At 49.5% G+C, this 22972-nt stretch overlaps 1 protein-coding gene across 4 annotated transcripts in view, besides 2 other annotated features; it reads left to right on the top strand.

Annotated features, from left to right (window-relative positions):
* DENND2A (DENN domain containing 2A) overlaps positions 1-6842 on the top strand; it is a 123042-nt gene extending 116200 nt beyond the window's left edge. For 3 of the 4 annotated variants that reach the window (NM_001318052.2, NM_015689.5, NM_001362678.2), the window contains 4 exons: positions 1837-1954; positions 3161-3406; positions 5543-5629; positions 6523-6841. In NM_001318052.2, coding sequence (NP_001304981.1) covers positions 1837-1954; positions 3161-3406; positions 5543-5629; positions 6523-6554 — 483 coding nt within the window. In that variant the 3' untranslated portion in view covers positions 6555-6841. Of the gene's footprint in view, positions 1-1836; positions 1955-3160; positions 3407-5542; positions 5630-6522 lie in introns of all 4 variants that reach the window. The other variant, NR_134477.1, reaches the window with a different exon arrangement.
* Positions 17383-17972: an enhancer, noted in NCBI's record as "H3K27ac-H3K4me1 hESC enhancer chr7:140207089-140207678 (GRCh37/hg19 assembly coordinates)". NCBI's record gives its function as "activates a minimal SCP1, AML or CMV promoter by ChIP-STARR-seq in primed H9 embryonic stem cells {active_cell/tissue: H9 hESC(primed)}" and the evidence as "EXISTENCE:reporter gene assay evidence [ECO:0000049][PMID:30033119]".
* Positions 17973-18563: an enhancer, noted in NCBI's record as "H3K27ac-H3K4me1 hESC enhancer chr7:140206498-140207088 (GRCh37/hg19 assembly coordinates)". NCBI's record gives its function as "activates a minimal SCP1, AML or CMV promoter by ChIP-STARR-seq in naive H9 embryonic stem cells {active_cell/tissue: H9 hESC(naive)}" and the evidence as "EXISTENCE:reporter gene assay evidence [ECO:0000049][PMID:30033119]".

Here is a 22972-nt window from a genome sequence, read left to right as displayed (position 1 = left end):
ATTGCTTGAACCCAGGAGGTGGAGGTTGCAGTGAGTGGAGATTGCGCCACTGCACTCCAGCCTGGGTGACAGAGTGAGATCCCATCTCCAAAAAAAAAAAAAAAAAAGACAGGGTCTCACTATGTTGCCCAGGCCGGTCTCAAACTCCTGGCCTCAAGTGATCTTCCCACCTCAGTCTCCTCAGTAGCTGGAGGCATGCACCACCATGCCCAGCTTCAATATGCATTTACGCCTGTAGTCCCAGCTACTTGGGAGGCTGAGGCAGGAGAATAGTGTGAACCCAGGAGGTGGAGCTTGCAATGAGCCGAGATCACGCCACTGCACTCCAACCTGGGCGACAGAGCGAGACTCCGTTTCAAAAAAAAAAAAAAAAAAGAATATTTGCCCTGGCCGGGGCACACTTACAATCCCAGCACCTCCAGAGGCTGAGGCAGGAGGATCACTTGAGCCCAGGAGTTAAAGACCAGCCTGGGACAACATGGTGAGACCCTTGTGTCTATAAAAAAATTAAAAAATTACCCAGGCCTGCTGGTATGCACCTGTAGTCCCAGCAGCTACGCAGGAGGCTGAGGCAGGAGGATCACTTAAGCCTGGGAGGTCAAGGCTGCAGTGAGCTGAGATCGTGCCACTGTACTCCAGCCCGAGAGACAGTGTGAAACCCTTTCCTGAAGAAAAAAAAAAGAGAGAAGAGACAGGAAAAAAAATATGTATATACGTGTGTGCGTGTGTGCGCGCACGCACGTGCACTTTAAAAGGACTGAAAGGAAAACCCACTAAAACATTAACGCTTGTTGTCTTGGGGAGGGAAACTGAAAGGAGACAGATTATGAGTGATTTTAAATTGTTTTAGTACATTCATATATTTTTATAATGATCATCAGTTACTTTCACTAGCAGAGAAGGTAACACACATGTATTTTCTTTTTATCATTTGCTAGAGAGGCCTAACTTCTATCAGATTTTGCAAGAAGTAATTATAGTAATTACAGAAAATTTCTCTGGGCATTCTGATGGATTACTTCCAAGTGTTGCCACATTGCTGAAAAGTTCAGTAGCATTAATGCTGTTTTTTATCATTACTTTCACTTCCTCAAGGCCCACAGGGTAGGCCCTTCCCAAGACCCTCCTGCTCTGAGGCCCTGATCCCAAAGCCAGCCTTAGATCACACAGGCCATCTGCCCTGGCCAGAATCCCCTGGTTACCAGAATCCACTAGCTACCCTACAGGATGGAGCAGTGGAAATCATCTATTGAGTATCCTCTCAGTGCCAAGCCCTTTCACAGGGTAATTGTAGTCCATTGTAGCTTCACAACAAGGTACAGATTGATTGGTAGTCCATTTTACAAGTGGGGAAAACGAGGCTCCCGTTGCTTGTAAAAAGTAGGCTCGGCCAGGTGCAGTGGCTCACGCCTGTAATCCCAGCACTTTGGGAGACCAAGGTGGGCGGATCACCTGAGGTCAGGAGTTCGAGACCAGCCTGGCTAACATGGTGAAACTAAACTACTAAAAATACAAAACATTAGCCAGGAGCGGTGGCACGCGCCTGTAGTTCCAGCTACTTGGGAGGCTGAGGCAGAATTGCTTGAATCCGGGAGGCAGAGGTTGCAGTGAGCCAAGATCATGGCATTGCACTCCAGACTATGCGACAAGAGTGAAACTCTGTCTCAAAAAAAAAAGTAGGCTCAAGATTGAAACCTCAGACCTCTGGCTTTCAGTTGTATTCCTTCCATGAAACTGGAGACTGAGCCAGGCCTGCCCTGCAGTGGCTCCAGTGTGTCCTATGGCCAAGACGCAGCCACCGTGCCCATAAGCCCACCTGCTACCTCTGCTTTCCAGATGGACGATGAGGACTCCATCCTGCCCCGGAAGCTTCAGGTGGCCCTGGAACACATTCTGGAACAGAGGAACGAGCTGGCTTGTGAGCAGGACGAAGGGCCCCTAGACGGCAGGCACGGTAAGTGTTCAGCCACCTCCCAGTGGGTCTCTCCCTTCCACTCTGAGGGTCAGGGAACAAATGGGCAGTGGCCAAGGGCCAAGTAGGAATATGGGCAAGGGAGACATAAGGAGAGAAACCAGGGCCTCATTCTGTTTATCTGGATTTCATTCCCACAGTGAATTGTGGGAAAGATTTTCCCACCTCCCCCATTTTGGCCTTAAAGTACCTGTTTAAAAGGGGGGCGTGGAAATTATCTGGGCATGGTGGCACATGCCTGTGGTCCCAGCTACCCGGGAGGCTGAGGCAGGAGGATCCCTTGAGCCCTGGAGGTTGAGGCTGCAGTGAGCCACACCACTGCACTCCAGCCTGGGCAACAGAGTGAGATCCCATCTCAAAAAATCAAAAATTAAAAACTGTGGCCAGGCACAGCAGCTCACACCTGTAATCCCAGCACTTTGGGAGGCCGAGGCAGGTGGATCACCTGAAGTCAAGAGTTCGAAACCAGCCTGGCCAATATGGTGAAAACACGTCTCTACTGAAAATACAAAAATTAGCTGGCCATAGTGGCAAGCGCCTGTAATCCCAGCTACTCGGGAGTCTGAGGCAGGAGAATCGCTTGATCTAGGAGGCAGAGGTTGCAGTGGACCGAGATCACACCACTGCACTCCAGCCTGGGAGACAGAGCAAGACTCTATCTCAAAAAAAATAAAAGGCTGGGCACAGAGGCTCATCCCTGTAATCCCAGCACTTTGGGAGGCCGAGGTGGGCAGATCACTTGAGTTCAGAAGTTCGAGACCAGCTTGGCCAACATGGTGAAACCCCATCTCTACTAAAAATACAAAAATTAGCTGGGCGTGGTGGCGCATGCCCATAATCCCAGCTACTCGGGAGGCTGAGGCAGAGGGATTGCTTTAATCCAGGAGGCAGAGGTTGCAGTGAGTCAGGATTATGCCACTGCACTCCAGCCTGGGCAATGGAGTGAGACTCCATCTCAAAAAATAAAAACAAAATAAAAATAAAAACTTTTTTAACAATTTAAAATTTAAAAAATTAAGCATGGAAAGAAATGTCTTAATAACCTGGGTAACCCTCCTCCTGGATAATCGCAGTTTCCATCAAGGGAACTAGCAGTTACTGTTCTTTGATTACCAATTGGCTTGTCTCAAGGGCTCTGGCCCAGCCTGTCTGCCCTCACCGTTCCTGGCCTTTCCTCCCCTTACTCAGGTCCAGAGTCCAGCCCCTTGAACGAGGTGGTGTCTGAAGCCTTTGTCCGCTTCTTCGTGGAGATTGTGGGACACTACTCTTTGTTCCTGACGTCGGGCGAGCGTGAGGAGAGAACCCTGCAGCGGGAGGCCTTCCGCAAAGCTGTCTCCTCCAAGAGCCTCCGCCACTTCCTGGAGGTCTTCATGGAGACTCAGATGTTTCGGGGCTTCATCCAGGAGCGGGAGCTGCGCCGGCAGGATGCCAAAGGTGAGGGGCATCTTCTCTGTTGGGGCCGAGTCAGCTAGAGCTCCCTATATTCCAGGCGGCTGATGAGTAGGGAGAAAGATCACAGGGCAGGGGCACAGACAGGACTGTGTCCATCTCCCCCAGAGAGCTTGCAGTTATGCCCTGACTGAGCTGGTAGGAAGGCCCCCTCTCCTGGCTTCTCTGTTCCCTCTGCCAGCCTCTCCCAGAACCACATTCCAGTGTCTGTGGCAGGGTCTCCTTCTATCCCATTCTTTCCAAATTGATGAAATTCTCAGGCTGGGCACAGTGGGTGACTCACGCCTATAATCCCAGCACTTTGGGAGGCCAAGGCATGCAGATCACTTGAGGTCAGGAGTTCAAGACCAGCCTGGACAACATGGTGCAACCCCTTTTCTACAAAAATGTTTTAAAAAATTAGATCGGTGTGATGGTGTGTGCCTGTGGTCCCAGCTCCTCAGGAGACTGAGGTGGGAGGATCACTTGAGCCTGGGAGGTGGAAGTTGCAATAAGCCGAGATCATGTCACTGCACTCCAGCCTGGTTGAGAGAGTGAGACTCCGTCACAAAAAAAAAAGAAAGAAAAAGAAAACTGATTGGAGAGTATGAGTTACATTTAAATCTCTCTTTACAGATCACTTGGTAAGAGAGGTGTGAGACACACAAGCTTAAAAGCTACTGGAAGCCGGGCATGGTGGCTCACGCCTGTAATCCCAGCACTTTCGGAGGCCAAGGCAGGCGGATCACCTGAGGTCAGGAGTTGGAAATCAACCTGGCCAACGTGGTGAAACCCTGTCTCTACTAAAAATAAAGAAAATTAGCCAGGCGTGGTGGTGTGCGCCTGTAATCCCAGCTACTCAGGAGACTGAGGCAGGAGAATCGCTTGAACCCAGGAGGCAGAGGTTGCAGTGAGCCGAGATTGCACCATTGCACTCCAGCCTGGGCAACAAGAATGAAACTCTGTCTCAGAAAAAAAGAAAAAAAAAAACTACCTGGAAAAAGCCGGGCGCTGTGGCGCGCGCCTGTAATCCCAGCACTTTGAGAGGCCGAGGCGGGCAGATCACCTGAGGTCAGGAGTTCGAGACCAACCTGGCCAACTTGGTGAAACCCTGTCTCTACTAAAAATACAAAAATTAGCTGGGCATGGTGGCAGGCGCCTGTAATCCCAGCTACTCAGGAGGCTGAGGCAGGAGAAGCGCTTGAACCCAGGAGGCAGAGCTTGCAGTGAGCCACAGTGGCACCATTACACTCCAGCCTGGGTGACACAGCGAAACTCTATCTCAAAAAAAAAAAACCCTGGAAAGAACCCTCTGTCCATGAAAGATCAGTCAGCAATGAAGACAGAGTGCCTGAAGCTCAGACCCCAGGGGTCTGAGAAGCGGCTTAAGAGATGGCCTATCCAGCCATCCTCCCTCCACACCTCCACAGAGGGACTCCTGGAAAACTAAGCCACTTGGCCAGGGCCCTCGTACAGGAGAATGCAGGGAAATGGGAGAGCACAGACACCCCTCCCAAGCCAGGACAGTCCGGTTCAACTTTTTTTTTTTTTTTTGCGACGGAGTTTCACTCTTGTTGCCCAAGCTGGAGTGCAAAGGCGTGACCTTGGCTCACTGCAACCTCCGCCTCCCGGGTTCAAGCGATTTTCCTGCCTCAGCCTCCCGAGTAGCTGGGATTATAGGCGTGCACCACCACACCTGGCTAATTTTTTTGTATTTTCAGTAGAAAGAGGGTTTCACCATGTTAGCCAGGCTGGCCTCGAACTCCTGATCTCAGGTGATCTGCCCACCTCAGCCTCCCAAAGTGCTGGGATTACAGGCGTGAACCACCATGACTGGCCACTCCGGTTCATCTTTAAAACTGCCCGCCTGGCACAGTGTAGACGCTCGGAAGGCGTTTGTTGAATAAAAATAGGATTTCATCTATGAGGTGGCTTTATAGCTTTCCAAAGGGAGTTACTGCACAGGTGGGGCAATTATAAGAGCAATAAAATCCTTATAAAACCTCCTGATTCAGAGCATGTTTATAGGAGCAGCTTAGTCTCAGAAACAAGGTTTCTCTTTTCTCTGGTAGGGAGGAAATGGACACATTTAGAAGTGCAAAGACCAAGAACTCAAATGGCTGGGATTTCTCTTGTTAACAGGTCTGTTTGAGGTCCGAGCCCAAGAGTATCTGGAAACACTCCCCAGTGGAGAGCACAGCGGTGTCAATAAGTTCCTGAAGGGACTAGGTAAGGCCCCGGGCTCTGGGTGCCCAGCCTGTGTGCCTCTGAGCTGTCTGTCTCGGAGTCCCAGCCGGTTCCCTCCACTGGAGCCAGCGCCCTGAATAATGCAGAGCTCTACGGCCTGCGCTGGGCAGATGCTACTGGCATTTTAACCTCCTGTTCTAATCTGTCCCCAAAGAGAAAACAAAGGAAACGCTGCCCCCAGCACCTCCTTTTCTGGGTCCCCGGGCTTTCTTGCTGTCTTCTTTCTCTATGATCTCCTGCACTGTTAAATCTCAGAGGAACTGAGCTGAGGGAGCATGGCGGGAACCAGACAAGGACGTCTGGCAAGAAAGACTCGCACTGGTGTCCAAATTCCTCTGGAAAGTAGAAACGTGACACTTACAAGGACTGTAGTTTAATCAGTGAAAAGGCCCTTAAAGGGAAAGGGAGAATGAAGACAGCCAAAAAAGAGGACGGAGGCCCCAGTAGGGAGGTGTCTGCAGCAGTGAGGCCCTCCCAGAGGGCCTGTGAAGGGCGCCATATCTGTGCCTCCTGCAGGACGGAGGGCTACCTGGAAGCAGAGTGTTTTAAATACACACAGCATTGCTGGGCACTTTCTCCTCCCCTGGCTCCTGAGGGATGTGTTAATTCGGTGCTTCCTTTATTACCACAGAAGCAGCCAGCCCTCCTAGACAGCTCTGATGGTCTTCCTTTCAAACCCCCTCAAGTCTGAGGAAGACCCCACGGGGATCTCTGGAAAGAACAAAGCCCCTTTGGCTTCTCCAGAGCAAGGGATGAGGCTCCCTGGGGTGGCGTGGGGGCCCCGTTACCCGCACCACTTCTGGGTGGAAAGGGCAAGATTTATCTCACCCTCCTTTGTCTGCCTTGTGAAATGTTCTCATTTTCCTTTTTTTTAGGCAATAAAATGAAATTTCTCCACAAGAAATAACTCTCAGCCTCAAGGGAAAACTTCCTCCTAGTGCAGCCCTATGCTTTAAAAACAGTTCCTGGTGGCCTTTCTGAAAGGCTGGGTCCCAGGTTGTCACGGTGCGGAACTGGAGGCCGCGGTGGCTTCTGGCCGAGGCTGGGCTCTTCCCTGGATGAGGACCTGGGAGCCGCCTGGGAGGACAGCCCCAGAAAGGGAGCCCGAGACCAGGCGTGTCGCCGACATGCAAATGGGTTGTTTTGGTGGTTGGGTTTTTTTTTTTATCTTAGATATTAAAAGTAAGAAAAATGTGTGGGTTTTCTGTTTATTATGCCAAGGCCAAGAGGAGCCTGTCCTGCCCTACACGTTCCCCTCGTTCGTCCCATCCGGCCGCTCAGCAATGGAGCTAAGAGGAGTGGTGATGGGCAACAGAAATGAGGTGCTCCTCGGAGCGGGACTGACGACACATGAGGACTGTGAGGGGAGGAGGCGGAGCCGGTGCCTCGGGTTCAGGGAGTGAGGCCTCCTAGTGAAAGGCTGGGCCCTTGCCCTAGAGTGGAGGCTAGGGAGGAACGGGAGCTGTAGACGGATGTGGCTTCCCAGACACGCTGCTCTTCCAGAAGGGACAGTGATGCCACCTGGTGGCCGAGGCCATGGACGTCTCTCTTCCCAAATGGACCTGACTCTTCTTGACTGCCTTGTTCTCTTAGAAGAAGCCATGGAACTGTCCACTGCCTGAGTAGTCCCTGGCTTTTAGAGGCACACACACAAAAAGAGGTCAGTAAACTGTTCTAGGGGTCTTCAAGTTTACGACACTGCTCACGGCCCACCTTCCAACACATAGCCACAACTTTGACCCCGTTCCCATCTCATTCCAGGGGCCCAGAGCAGCATTAATGCAATAGTGGATGTGCACTGCCTGTACACGGTGGGGGGCGGGGGGACCTTTTGCGGCTGATGGTAACAAGATGGAGGGTGAGAACGCTGGGGCGGCGTCATGAGCCGTGTGCAGCCAGAGAGGCAGCTTGCGTTTTCTGGACCAGAAGCAGGGAGGGTGTGGAGAAGGCCAAAAACCTCAGGGCGACCTAAGAGCTGTCCTGCAGCGGGGACAGTGGGGACAGCAGGGACAGCGGGGAGGCAGGAAAAGCCCCGAACACAGCTGAGGCAGGTTCTCAGAGCAAGCCTCAGGGCCACTACCAGGTGACCCCTGCCCTCAGCTCTCACCAGCGACCCTCACAGAAACACAAAAGGGAGGGGCGCCGACCTCAACAATGGCCCAGAGGGGCCATACTGCCTGGCAGGGGTTCTCAACCTTTAGGGAGCGGGAGCAAGGGGCCTTCCGAGGATAAATAGAAATGAGGAAAATGAGGGGAGGTGACCTCTCATCCTTCCTCTTAGCTGGAGTTATGGACCCCCTCGCCCCTCCAAGTTCTACCCAGGCTTTGGTGTGTCCATTACTTTTTCAGAGGTGAAGATCCACAGTTTACATCAAATTCTCAAAGATGCTCCCAGAATGGTAGAAACCAGGCTGTGCATAAAAATTAACCTGCCTGGCCGGGCGCAATGGCTCATGCCTATAATCCCAGCACTTTGAGAGGCCAAGGCAGGCAGGTGGATCACCTGAGGTCAGGAGTTCAAGATCAGCCTGGCCAACATGGCAAAACCCCATCTGTACTAAAAATACAAGAAAAACTTAGCCGGGCATCGTGGTGCGTGCCTGTAATCCCAACTACCTGGAAGGCTGAGGCAGAAGAATCGCTTGAACTGGGGAGGAGAAGGTTGCAGTGAGCCGAGATCATGCCACTGCACTCCAGCCTGGACAACAGAGCAAGACTCCTTCTCAAAAAAACTCTGGCTGGGTGTGTGTGGGTGGGGACTAGGGGGATGCCTGAATGAGAATCCCTGAATCCTTGAGTGTGGGGGTTCAGGAATATGTATCTAACAAGCTCCTTGGATTAGTCAAGTTTGTGTGTGGGCTCAGGAATATATGTATCTAGCAAGCTCCTCAGACTAGTCAACTTTCTTAATAGTCTGCATATTTGTATATTGCCCAGAAAGGGACACTTTTTGGAATATACTTTCTTTTTTTAACTTATTTCGCATTATATTGTTTACTTAATAACTCCAAGCAAATAAATGTACATCTTTATCAACATTCCCAATGACTGCATAATATTCCATTCTGTGGGGATACTAAAAGCTATTAGTTCATCAGCCTTTGGCTCTTTATACATGCAGGACGTTTCCAGTTTTTAACATCATAACATCGAAAACAGCATCTTTGTACAAGTATCTTAGCACACTTGCCCCATCTTAATTTTCATTTTTGCTTAAAGTAAAATATACATACTTTTTTTTAAATTTATTTACTTTTTTTTTTTTTGAGATGGAGTCTCGCTCTGTCCCCCAGGCTGGAGTGCAGCGGCACGATCTTGGCTCACTGCAACCTCCACCTCCCGAGTTCAAGCGATTCTCCCCCTTCAGCCTCCTGAGTAGCTGGGATTACAGGCGGGCGCCACCACACCTGGCTAATTTTTGTATTTTTAGCAGAGACGGTGTTTCACCATGTTGACCAGGCTGGTCTCAAACTCCTGACCTCAGGTGATCCGCCCGCCTTGGCTCCCAAAGTGCTGGGATTACAGGTGTGAGCCACCACGCCCTGCCAAAATATACATACTTTAAAAATACACATACAGATATTAGTGTACAGCCTAACAAACGTTCACAAATGACCATGTGAAAGTTGCCAGAATCAAAATGGAGCCACACAGACACACAAAATACTTGTGTGAGGACATCTGCCCAGCAACTGCCTGTCCAGCCTCAGACTGGCGCCAGCCTTGTTATGGATCCTTGTAGCCAAGGATAATGATCTCAAAACAATGTGATCCTCCCTACTTTTCCTTTAAAAACCCTGTCTTCCTTTACCTCCTTGAATATGCAGCACATAGTTTTTACTATGTCCTGTGTATTACCATTGCAATGGCTATTCTCAAATAAACATGGTTTTCTTTTAGGAAAAAAAAAGAAGGTGGGCACAGAGGTCCATGCTTATAATCCTAACACTTTGGGAGGCTGAGGTGGGAGGATCACTTAAGACCAGGAGTTCAAGACCAGCCTGGGCAACATAGTGGGTCCGCCCATCTCTACAGAAAATTTTAAAATTAGCCTGGCGTGGTGGCGCACTCCTGTAGTCCCAGCTACTCAGGAGGCTGAGGCAGGAGAATTGCTTGAACCCGGGAAGCAGAGGTTGCAGTGAACCGAGATTGCACCACTGCACTCCAACCTGAGTGACAGAGCAACCTGAGTGACTTTCAAAACAAAACAAAACATCACGCCTGTAATCCCAGCATTCTGGGAGGCTGAGGTGGGTGGATCACTTAAGGTCAGGAGCTCGAGACCAGCATGGCCAACATGGCAAACCCCCATCTCTACTAAAAATACAAAAATTAGCCAGGTGTGGTGGCGGGCACCTGTAATCTCAGCCACTCAGGAGGCTGACGTGGGAGGATCACTTGAACTCAGGAGGCAGAGGTTGCAATGAGCTGAGATCACGCCAGTGCACTCCAGCCCGGGCAACAGAGTGAGACACTGTCTCAAAAAAAAAAAAAAAAAAAGGAATATCAATGAAACGAGTGACAGCATCCAGGGCCACAGGGGTCACACCCTCAGGCATATCAAAGCTGGTAAATAGAATTTTTTTTTTTTTTTTTTGGTAGAGATGGGATCTCACTATGTTGCCAGGGCTGTTCTTTTTTTTTTTTTTTTTTTTGAGACAGAGTCTCAGTCTGTCGCCCAGGCTAGAGTGCAGTGGCGCTATCTCGGCTCACTGCAACCTCTGCCTCCCGGGTTCAAGCGATTCTCCTGCCTCAGCCTCCCGAGTAGCCAGGATTACAGGCGCCTGCCACCATGCCCAGCTAATTTTATTTTTAGTAGAGACAGGGTTTCACCATCTTGGCCAGGCTGGTCTTGAGCTCCTGACCTCGTGATCCACCCACCTCAGCCTTCAAAGTGCTGGGATTACAGGCGTAAGCCACCAACCACCAGGGCTGTTCTTGAACTCCTAGGTTCAAAAAATCCTCCTGCCTCAGCCTCCCAAAGTGTTGAGATTAAAGGCATGAGCCACCACGCCTGACCTGGTCTTTTTTCTTTTAAGTCCCATTGCTCTGGATACCTTGCATAGGCTTGAAAAGCAAATCCAAAGCGGTACACGGCAGGCCCCAAAGACCCTGAGGAGCCAAGCAAGCTGTGGGAGTGGGCTTTGGGAAGGACAAGATGAGTGGAAGCCGGAGACCTGTGCAAAGGTTCATAAGAAAAGCAAAAGTTACACATGCGGCCAACAAGCATATGAGAAAAAGTTCAGTATCACTGAACATTACAGAAACACACATCAAAACCACAATGAGATACCATCTCGCACCTCTCAGAATAGCTATTATTAAAAAGTCGGCCAATCATGATGGCTCATGCCTGTAATCCCAGAACTTTCGGAGGCCATGCATGGCAGGTGGAATACTTGAGGCCAGGAGCTCAACACCAGCCTGGGCAGAGGAGCGAGACCTCATCTCAATTGAAAAAAAAAAAAAAAAAGTCAAAAAATAACAGATGCTGGAGAGATTGCGGAGAAAAACGCTTAAACCAAGCTTATCCAACCCACAGCCCATGGGCCACATGCAACCCAGGACGGCTTTGAATGTGGCCCAACACAAATTCCTAAACTTTCTTCAAACATTTTGAGGGCTGGGTGTGGTGGCTCACACCTGTAATCCCAGCACTTTGGGAGGCCAAGGAAGGTGGATCACTTGAGGTCAGAAGTTAGAGACCAGCCTGGCCTGGCCAACATGATGAAACCCATGTCTACTAAAACTGAAAAAATAAATACAAAAATTAGCCAGGGGTGGTGACGCACACCTGCATTCCCAGCTACTCGGGAGGCTGAGGCACAAGAATCACTTGAACCCAGGAGGCTGAGATTGTGGTGGGTTGAGATTGTGCCATTACACTCCAGCCTGGCGACAGAGTGAGGATTCATCTCAAAAAAAAAAAAAAAAAAAAAAAAAAGCTTAGTACCTGGGAGATGAAATGATCTGTACAACAAATCCCAGTGACATGCATTTACTTTTTTTTTTTTGAGACAGAGTCTCGCTTCGTCGCCCAGGCTGGAGTGCAGTGGCATGATCTCGGCTCACTGTAAGCTCTGCCTCCTGGGTTCACACCATTCTCCTGCCTCCACACCATTCTCCTGCCTCAACCTCCCAAGTAGCTGGGACTACAGGTGCCCGCCACCACACCTGGCTAATTTTTTTGTATTTTTAGTAGAGACAGGGTTTTACCATGTTAGCCAGGATGGTCTCGATCTCCTGACCTCGTGATCTGCCCGCCTCCACCTCCCAAAATGCTGGGATTACAGGCGTGAGCCACTGCGCCCAGCTACATATTTTTTTTTTTTGAGATGGAGTCTCACTCTGTTGCCCAGGCTGGAGTGCAGTGGAGCAATCTTGGCTCACTGCAACCTCTGCCTCCTGGGTTCAAGCAATTCTCCTGCCTCAGCCTCCTGAGTAGCTGGGACCACAGGTGCCTGCCACCACGCCCGGCTAATTTCTGTATTTTTAATAGAGACGGGGTTTCACCATGTTGGCCAGGCTGGTCTCGAACTCCTGACCTCAGGTGATCCGCCCACCTCAGCCTCCCAAAGTGCTGGGATTACAGGCATGAGCCACCACGCCCGGCCACGAGTTTACTTATATAACAAACCTGCACATGTACCCTTGAACCTAAAATCAAAATTAAAAAAAAAAAAAAAAGCAAAGCAAAAGGCAAGTGAGCAGGGCCATGTACCTGCTGGCACCTGTGAAGGCCAATTAACTTCAGTCCACGGCTTGTACAGTGACCACACCCGGCCCTCACCCAGCACCTAGCTGGAGTTCAGCAGCCCAACCTCTGACTTCTTTCTGGCATGAACAGATGCTGGCAGCAGGCCAGGGAGCAAACTGTCTGACGTTTGATCAGCCCTGGGCTCCTTACCGGTCCCTCTTGCTCTCCTCGTCCTCTGCCCATCACCCCTTCCTGCCCCAGTATAATCCTAAAAGACCACACACTTAAGATCTGAAACCGGAACCTCACAACAGGTTGTCCCTCCCGCTATAGAGCTGATTCCAGTGCCCCTCACCCTGCCACCATCCCCCACCCCTGCCCTGGGGAAATGTGGACTGGGTTGTTTTTCTGTCAGAGAACTCCAGATTCACACGGACCTGCCCTTCTCTCTCACCAGCCCCATGGACAGGAGTGAAAGAGCTATTCAACAGGGCTGTGGGTGATTGAGGAGGACTACCCACAGGTTGAGGCTGCAGTGAGCCCTGATTGTGCCATTGCACTCCAGCCTGGGCAACAGGCTTTGTCTCAAAAACAAAACAACAAAAAAAGTTAAAAAAAAATTTTTTTTAAAGAGATGGGGCTATGAGAGCCAAGGGTAAAGCCACAGATGCCCCATATCTGGAGATGGAGGCCGTTCACCGAGGACGAAGGCCAAATGAGGGCCTGCCACATCAAGCAGAGGTGTCATCGACTGTGTTTCCTGGCCTTACCAAAATTAAAAGCAAAAAGCGAGCTGAGCTCGGTGGCTCATGCATGTAATCCTACCATTTTGGGAGGCCCAGGCAGGTGAATCATTTGAAGCCAGAAGTTCGAGACCAGCATGGGCAAAAAAACAACATCAAGTCTAAAAAAAAAGGCCAGGTGTAGTGGCTCACGCCTGTAATCCCAGCATTTTGGGAGGCTGAGGCAGACAGATCCCTTGAGGTCAGATGTTCGAGACCAGCCTGGCCAACATGGTGAAATCCCATCTCTAATAAAAATACAAAAATTAGCCAGGCATGGTGACTCATGCCTGTAATCCCAGGACTTTGGGAGGCCGAGGCAGGCGGATCACCAGGTCAGGAGTTCAAGACCAGCCTGACCAACATGGTGAAACCCCGTCTCTGCTAAAAATACAAAAATTAGCCCAGCGTGGTGGTGTGCACCTGTAATCCTAGCTACTCAGGAGGCTGAGGCAGGAGAATCACTTAAACCCGGGAGGCAGAGGTTGCAGTGAGCCGAGATTGCACCACCGCACTCCAGCCTAAGCTACAGAGTGAGACTCCGTCTCAAAAAAAAAAAAAAAAAAATTAGCTGGGTGTGGTGGCGCACGCCTGTAGTCCCAGCTAATCAGGAGACTGAGACAGGAGAATTGCTCGAACCCAGGAGGTGGAGGATGCAGTGAGCTGAGATCCTGCCACTGCACTCTGGGCTGGGCAACAGAAGGATACTCCATCTTAAAAAAAAAAAAGGAAAAGGGCCGGGCGCCATGGCTCACGCCTGTAATCCCAGCACTTTGGGAGGCCGAGGTGGGCAGACCACGAGGTCAGGAGATCCAGACCATCCTGGCTAACACGGTGAAACCCCGTCTCTACTAAAAATACAAAAACTTAGCCAGGCGTGGTGGAGTGCGCCTGTAGTCTCAGCTACTCAGGAGGCTGAGGCAGGAGAATGGCATGAAACCGGGAGGCGGAGATTGCAGTGAGTCGAGATCGTGCCACTGCACTCCAGCCTGGGTGACAGAGTGAGACTCCATCTCAAAAAAAAAAAAGTTCAAATTTAAAAGGTTTTATTTTATTTTATTTATTTATTTATTTATTTTTGAGTCAGAGTTTCGCTGTTGTTGCCTAGGCTGGAGTGCAATGGCGCGATCTCGGCTCACCACAACCTCCGCCTCCCGGGTTCAAGTGATTCTCCTGCCTCAGCCTCCCAAATAGCTGGGATTACAGGCATGCACCACCACGCCAGGCTAATTTTGTATTTTTAGTAGAGATGGGGTTTCTCCACGTTAGTCAAGTTGGTCTCGAACTCCCAACTTCAGATGATCCACCCACCTCGGCCTCCCAAAGTGCTGGGATTATAGGTGTGAGCCACTGTGCCTGGCTACTATTTTACTTTTTGAGATGGAGTCTCACTGTGTTGCCCAGGCTGGAGTGCAGTGGCATGATCTCAGCTCATTGCAACCTCCACCTTCCAGGTCCAAGTGATTCTCCTGCCTTAGCCTCCCAGGTAACTGGGATTACAGGCGTGCGCCACTACACACAGCTAATTTTTGTATTTTTACTAGACACTAGGTTTCACTGTCTTGGCCAGGCTTGTCTTAATCTCCTGACCTCAAGCAATCTGCCAGCCTCAGCCTCCCAAAGTGCTGGGATTAAAGGCATGAGCCCTGTGCCCAGCCACAAACATTTTTTTAAAAAAGAAAACACTGGCCAGGTACGGTGGCTCACACCTGTAATCCCAGCACTTTGGGAGGCAGAGGTGGGCAGATCGTGAGGTCAGGAATTCAAGACCAGCCTGACCAACATGGTGAACCCTCGTCTCTACTGAAAATACAAAAATTACCAGGGCCTGGTGGCATGTGCCTATAATCCCTGTAATCAGGAGGCTGAGCCAGGAGAATCACTTGAACCCGGGAGGCAGAGGTTGCAGTGAGCTGAGATTGTGCCACTGCACTCCAGCCTGGGCGACAGAGTGAGACTCCATCTCAAAAAAAAAAAAAGAAACACCAATCTACGGTAATAGAATTCAGAAAGTGATTGTGCACTGGGATGAGAAAATGAACTAGAAAGAAGCAGGAAGGAACATTCTATGATGATGGAAGTCTTTATCTTGGTTTATGGTTACCTCGTGGTTGTACATGATTGTCAAAACTCACTGAACAGGTTGGGCAGGGTGGCTCACACCTGTAATCCCAACAGTTTGGGAGGCCGAGGCAGGTGGATTGCTAGAGCTCAGAAGCTTCAGACAAGCCTGGCCATGGTGAAACCCTGTCTTTACAAAAAATACAAAAATTAGCTTGGCATCGTAGCACACACCTGTAATCCCAGCTACTTCGAGGGTGAGGTGGGAGGATGGCTTGAGCCTGGGAGGTCAAGGCTGCAGTGAGCCTTAAGTGCACCACTGCATTCCAGCCTGTGTAACAGGAGCGAGACCCTGTCTAAAAAATAAAAATAAAAATAAAAAGGCCGGGCACGGTGGCTCACGCCTGTAATCTGAACACTTTGGGAGGCTGAGGTGGGCGGATCACGAGGTCAGGAGATGGAGACCATCTTGGTAAACACGGTGAAACCCTGTCTCTACTAAAAATACAAAAAATTAGCCAGGTGTGGTAGCGGGCGCCTGTAGTCCCAGCTGCTCGGGAGGCTGAGGCAGGAGAATGGCGTGAACCCGGCAGGCGGAGCTTGCAGTGAGCCGAGATCGCGCCACTGCACTCCAGCCTGGTGACAGAGCGAGACTCCTTCTGAAAAAAAGAAAGAGAGAGAGAGAGAAAACAAATCACTGAATATGTAAGATCTGTGCATGTTTTTGCATGTAAATTATTTCTCTTTTTTTGAGACAGAGTCTCACTGTCGCCCAGGCTGGAGTGCAGTGCCACAATCTTGGCTCACTGCAACCTCCGCCTCCTGGGTTCAAGTGATTTTCCTGCCTCAGCCTCCTGAGTAGCTGGGATTACAGGTGGGGGCCACCATGCCCAGCTAATTTGTGTACTTTTAGTAGAGATGGGGTTTCACCATATTGACCAGGCTGGTCTTGAACTCCTGACCTCAAGTGATCTGCCCGCCTCAGCCTTCCAAAGTTCTGGGATTACAGGCATGACTTACTGAGCCCCATCCCCCTGTTTGTTTGGTTTTTTTCTGCAGATACATTGGCTGGAAATGTAAATTATTTCTCAATTTGAGAAATGTAATTGAAAAAAATACTGGGGGAAGAAAGTCACCTCATCAAAAAATATCATTAGGAGAGTGAAAAGATATGTCATACACTGGGGAACAATATTTGTAACACATATAGCCAACAAAAGATTAGTATCTTTTTTTTTTTCCTTAAGACAGGATCTGGCTCTGTTGCCCAGGCTGGAGTGCAATGGCACCATCACAGCTCACTGCAGCTTGGACCTCCTGGGCCCAACCCCACTTCAGCCTCCCAAGTAGTTACAAGCACACACCACCATGGTTATGTATTTTCCTTTTCCCTTTTTTTTTTTTTTTTTTTTTGAGACGGAGTCTCACACTGTTGCCCAGGCTGGAGTGCAGTGGCGCGATCTCGGCCCACTGCAACCTCTGCCTCCCGAGTTCAGGCAATTCTCTGCCTTAACCTCCTGAGTAGCTGAGACTACAGGCGTGCACACTATGCCCAACTAATTTTTTTGCATTTTTAGTGGAGAGGGGGTTTTGCCATGTTGGCCAGGCTGGCTTCAAATTCCTGACCTCAAGTGATCTACCCGCCTTGGCCTCCCAAAGTGCTGGGGTAGCAGGCATGAGCCACCTCACCGGGTCCCCCAAAGCATAAATTTTTAATTAATATTTATGTGCACAGGAGTTCATAGAAAATTGAAACTCAAAGAAGGTCTCTTAGAATCTGGGGCTTATATACCATTTTAACAAAAGAAAGGGGTTTGGGCTTCAAGGGTTGATTGATTACTTGTGGGAAAGCGACTAGGAATACAGGAGAAACTAACGGCAGACAAGGGTTATTTTCGTCAGGCTTGTTTATGCAGACTCACCCTGCTGCCAGCTCTCTGTCTCTGGTGATAAGAGCGGCTCTCCTCTTTCTGGTACAAGAAGGGAGTTGCCTTCACAAGGGAAATTCACGCCACCTTCACTGAGGGAAATTTCTGCTCTGTTCTTAGTTGGCTAAGAGAAGGGCAGAGAACCTTCTTGTATCTGTTGATCCTCAATTGCTTTCAGCTGAAAATAATCCTATGCCAAAGTGCATCTCTTGGGGGTGGCACAACCTGATCCCCTTTCATTTGAACTGTGCGCATTGCTTAGAAAAAGCCATAATCTTCAAAAAAAAAAAAAAAAAAAAGTCATCATCCCCCTTTCATGTTATGTCAAGCCCAGCCAACTGGCATCTTTTTTTTTTTTTTTTTTTTTTTGAGATGGAGTCTTGCTCTGTCACTCAGGCTGGCATGCAGCAGCAGGATCTCAGCTCACTGCAGCCTCTGCCTCCCGGGTTAAAGCGATTCTCATGCCTCAGCCTCCCGAGTAGCTGGGATTACAGGTGCGTGCCACCACGTCAGGTTAATTTTTTTGTATTTTTAGTAGAAACAGGGTTTTACCATGTTGACCAGGCTGGTCTGGAACTCCTGACCTCAGGTGATCCGCCTTCCTCGGCCTCCCAAAGTGCTGGGATTACAGGTGTGAGCCACAGCACCGGGCCCCAACTGGCATCTCAATGGCAAACTGATTGTCTTGGCCTTTCCTGGGGGAGGGGAGGAGACTTATGCCAGCCATTACTCCAGACTCTTATCTTCCCTGCTGGGGGCCAGGGCACCAAAGGGGCCGAGAGGCACAGGAGAGAGTGAGGCATGGAGCAGCTGCATCAGCACTGCCACCTGTTTACTGTGGAACTTGGAACATGACTCCTCTCCTACCGGCCTCCTGTTCCCCCATCTGTACAACAGAAAAGATCCCTCCTGTCTCCAGCCTTGTCTGACACCTGGCACACCTGTGGCTATACCCAGGATGGGTGACCTGGAAGCCTGGTCCAGGGCCTTCAGCTGATGTTGACATTGTCAGATTCAGGAGACAGGGGGGAGGTGGAGCCCTGTGCAAAACAAGGGGGTGCCTGAGGAGGGAGGAGACGAGAGTTAGCTGTTGCCCCCATGTCTGCCAGGCAGCTAACAGCTGAGCTGACCTTAAAGTCAGGGCATGCTTCAGCTTGTCTTAACAGCTATTTATAGCTCGGGTGCCTCCTTATTTGGTAGCTGACTGCACTGCAGTCTGTGGCCTCTCTCCACAGGGATGCCTGCCTTCCTGACAAGCAGCCCAGGCTCCTGATGCAGTTCTGTCTCCTACAGGCTTTACGCAGAACAGGCTCACATCTGTGTGAGCTCTGTGTGAGCCTTACCTATTCCAAATGCCCTTTAAAGCCATTTACATAGCCGTTACATGTTTTATTGTGTTAAAATACACATAACATAATCCCAGCACTTTGGGAGGTCAAGGCGGCCAGAGGATCATTTGAGGGGCCAGGAGTTTGACACCAGCCTTGGCAACATAGCAAGACCCCCATCTATACTTAAAAAAAAAGAAGATAATGGGGTTGAGGGTGCCCTCTGTGACTGGCCAGGGGTTTGGAGGTGATCACTCTAGCCTATTTACTCTCACCAATCCAAGACACCTGCTAACCCCCAGAATCTTTAAAGGACCAGTCTTTCCACCCTGTGATGCATTTGGGGGCACAATGGGTACCCGTCTCTCCTCTCCCACCCGTTATGGGCTGAACTGTGTCCATCCCAAAATTCATATGCTGAAGTCTCAACTTCCAGCACCTCAGAATGTAACCATATTTGGAGATAGGGTCTGGAGGAGGTAATTAAGTTAAAATGAGGGCCTATGGGTGGCCTCTAACCCAACATGACTAGTGTCCTTAAAAGAAAGAAAATTGGGGCCAGGTGTAGTGGCTCATGCCTGTAATCCCAGCACTTTGGGATGCTGAGGCAAGAGGATCACGTGAGGTCAGGAGTTTGAGACCAGCCTGGCCAAGATGACAAACCCCCATCTCTACGTAAAATACAAAAAAAAAAAAAAAAAAAAATAGATGGGCGTGGTGGTGCGCGCCTGTAATCCCAGCTACTTGGGAGGTTGAGGCAAGAGAATCACTTGAACCTGGGAGGCTGAGGTTGAAGTGAGCCGAGATTATGCCACTGCACTCCAGTCCGGGTGACAGACCCAGACTCCGTCTCAAAAAAAAGAAAGAAAGAAATGTGGACACAGACACACTTAGAGAGAAAACTGTGTGAGGATATGGGGAGAAGGTGGCCATCTACAAGCCAAGGAGAGAGACCTCAGAAGAAACCAACCCTGCCAATCAACACCTTGATCGCAGACTTCCAGCTTCCAGAACTGGGGGAAGATGAGTTTCTCTTAGTTAAGCCACATTTGTGAAACTTGGTAATGGCAGCCCTAGCTGACTCTTACGACTCCCCTCCTCTGTTCTCTGATTTTACAAAGAATATCCTGAGCTGGATTCCTCCTCAAATTTGATTTTTCGGGCAAAGAGAGGTTCAAGTGGCAACGCATTGGCTGGGCTTTTGAGGCTCACCCTCCTCAATCCTCCACAGCACAGACACTCCTGGATTCCCGGGACCTCTGGACAGACACCTCTTCCCACAGGCCCCTGCTGCTTTCTCGAGGAGCCAATGTCACCGCTACCCTTTCCTAGCTCTGACGGCCTTCCAACTTGCCCACCTCACACGGGTCCCACCTCAAACCAAGCATCCCAGGCCTCATTTTAGCCATGAGGATTTCCCCAGTAGAGGCTGTGGCCAGTGAGGCAGCATTTCACATAGACACATGTCTATGTAAACACATTTAGCATAGACCATGAATCAAGACACCATGCTTCACAGGCCTGAGTCCTTCCACCCCTCCCCAGATCACAGTCCACCCCTAAAAGAATTATCCATTGAGATTCCACTCAACACATGTTCCTTTAGTATCGTCTATGGGCCGGAGACTCCAGCAAGCAATGGCACAAGAAAAATGACCCATTCCTTGTCCTCAGGAGACATCCCACCTAGTGGGGAAGATTTTTTTTTTTTTTTTTTGAGACAGACTTTTGCTCTTGTTGCCCAAGCTGGAGTGCAATGCCACGATCTCAGCTCACTGCCACCTCCACCTCCCAGGTTCAAGCGATTCTCCTGCCCCAGGCTCCCGAGTATCTGGGATTACAAGCACGTGCCACCATGCCTGGCTAATTTTTTGTATTTTTAATAGAAACAGGGTTTCACTATGTTAGCCAGCCTGGTCTCAAACTCCTAACATCAGGTGATCTGCCCGCCTCAGCCTCCCAAAGTGCTGGGATTACAGGCGTGAGCCACTGCGCCCAGCCGATTTTATTTTATTTATTTATTTATTTTAAACAGAATCTTGCTCTCACTCTGTCGCCCAGGCTGGAGTGCAGTGGCGCGATCTCGGCTCACTGCAACCTCCGCCTCCCAGGTTCAAGTGATTCTCCCGCCTCAGCCTCCCGAGTAGCTGGGAATACAGGCGTATGCCACCACGCCCGGCTAATTTTTGTATTTTTAGTAGAGATGGGGTTCGCCATGTTGGCCAGGCTGGGCCATGGCTTGGACAAGCTGGTTCTAAGTTCTGCTGCTAACTACACAGTAAGACGATAACTGAGACTACAAGTATTGCCAAGAAGAAGGTTTTAATTGGTGTTGGAGTGGGGGGTACAAGGGGTGCTGCAGCCCAGGAGATGGGAGCTCAGTCTCAAATCCGTCTCCCTGATGGACTAAAGGCAGGGATTTATATAGCAGGGAAGAAATGTAACCATGTGTTAAAAAAAACAGGAACTATGGAGGGGTAAAGAAGCAATCATGATGAATGAGGGATCACACATCATATTGTCTGGACATAGTGATCTGGTGAATTTCAGTTTTTTGATACTTTTTTTTTTTTGAGACAGAGTCTTGCTTTGTCGCCCAGGCTGGAGTGCAATGGGGTGATCTCCACTCACTGCAATGTCTGCCTCCCAGGTTCAAGCGATTCTCCTACCTCAGCCTCCCGAGTAGCTGGGATTACAGGCATGTACCACCACGGCCAGCTAATTTTTGTATTTTTAGTAGAGACGGGTTTTCACCATGTTGGTCACGCTGGTCTCAAACTCCTGGCCTCAAGTGATCCACTCACCTCAGCCTCCCAAAGTGCTGGGATTACAGGTGTGAGCCACCATGCCTGACCTGATACTTTCTTTCTTTTTGTTCTTTTTTTTTCTTTATTTTTCTTTTTCTTTCTTTCTTTTCTTTTTTTTTTTTTTTTTTTGAGAGGCTGAAAGTCTTTCCTGAGGAAGAAACTCAGATAAAACAAGCTGGTCTTCCCTGGTTCCAGGTGGTGAAGGCCCACCATTGAAGGGAACATTTTACCACACACCGTCCTTTTTTTTTTTTTTTTTTAATTATGTTGTCCAGTCTGGAAAATAGCTGGGACTATAGAGATGCGCCACTGGGCCCGGCTTACACTATACATCTTTTTTTTAAATGTGGTAAAATATATGTAATGTAACATTTACCATTTAATCAATTTAAAGTAAACAGTTCAGTGGCATTAAGTATTGTATTAGGTTGGCGCAAAAGTAATTGCGGTTTTTGCCATTGAAAGTGATGGCAAAGCTGGGTGTGGTGGCTCATGCCTGTAATCCCAGCACTTTGGGAGGCTGAGGTGAGTGGATCGCCTGAGGTCCGGAGTTCGAGACCAGCCTGGCCAACATAGTGAAACCCCATCTCTACTAAAAATACAAAAAATTAGCTGGGCGTGGTGGCGGGCGCTTGTAATCCCAGCTACTAGGGAGGCTGAGGCAGGAGAATCGCTTGAACCCAGGAGGCAGAGGTTTCAGTGAACCGAAATCATGTCATTGCGCTCCAGCTTGGGCAACAAGAGCGAAACTCCATCTCATCTCAAAAAAAAAAAAAAAAAAGAAAAAAGAAAGTGATGGCAAAAACCGCAACTACTTTTGTGCCAACCTAATACAACAATTACCATCATCCATCTCCAGAATTTTTTTTATCTTCCAAAATTCTATACCCATTAAACAACCCCCATTCCCCCTTTTTCCAACTCCTGGCAACCACCATTCTACTTTTTGTCTCTATTAATTTGACATATTTTTCTTATTTTATTTTGAGACAGGGTCTCACTGTCACGCATGGAGTGTATTGGTGAGCTCATAGTTTCCTCCAGTGTCAACCTCCTGGGCTCAGGTGATCCTCCCATTTCAGCCTCCCAAGTAGCTGGGACTACAAGTGTGCGCCACCAGACTGGCTAATTTTTTTTTTTTTTTGAGACAAAGTCTCACTCTTGTCCCCCAGGCTGGAGTGCGATGGCGTGATCTCGGCTCGTTGCAATTTCCGCCTCCCGGGTTCAAGCGATTCTCCTGCCTCGGCCCCCCTGCCCGAGTAGCTGGGATTACAGGTGCTTGCCACCAGGCCCGGTTAATTTTTGCATTTTTAGTAGAGACGGGGTTTTACCATGTTGGCCAGGCTGGTCTAGAACTCCTGACCTCAGGTGATCCACCCACCTCAGCCTCCCAAAGTGCTTGGATTACAGGCGTGAGCCACCCCGCCCGGCCTAATTTTTTGTTTTTTGTAGAGACCAAGTCTCACTATGTTGCCCTGGCTGGTCTCGAACTGCTGGGCTCAAACGATTCTCCCACCTCGGCCTCATAAAGTGTTGGAATTACAGGTATGAGCCACCGCACCCAGCCCACATGTGGATTTTAAAGCTGTCCAGAATTTTGATATGGCTTGGCATAGACAGACTGCAAGGCAGGCGCTAAGGTCTCCGATAAATGGTCAGGACTTGTTTACTTGACTCAATTAACAGGGTTGATTTGTTTTTCAGAACAGCTTGTGTGTAGAA

This window comes from Homo sapiens, chromosome 7 (genome assembly GCF_000001405.40).
Source record: "Homo sapiens chromosome 7, GRCh38.p14 Primary Assembly".
Classification (NCBI taxonomy): domain Eukaryota; kingdom Metazoa; phylum Chordata; class Mammalia; order Primates; family Hominidae; genus Homo; species Homo sapiens.
Note: the sequence above shows the minus strand (reverse complement) of the source record. Positions and strands in the feature narration are given on the sequence as shown.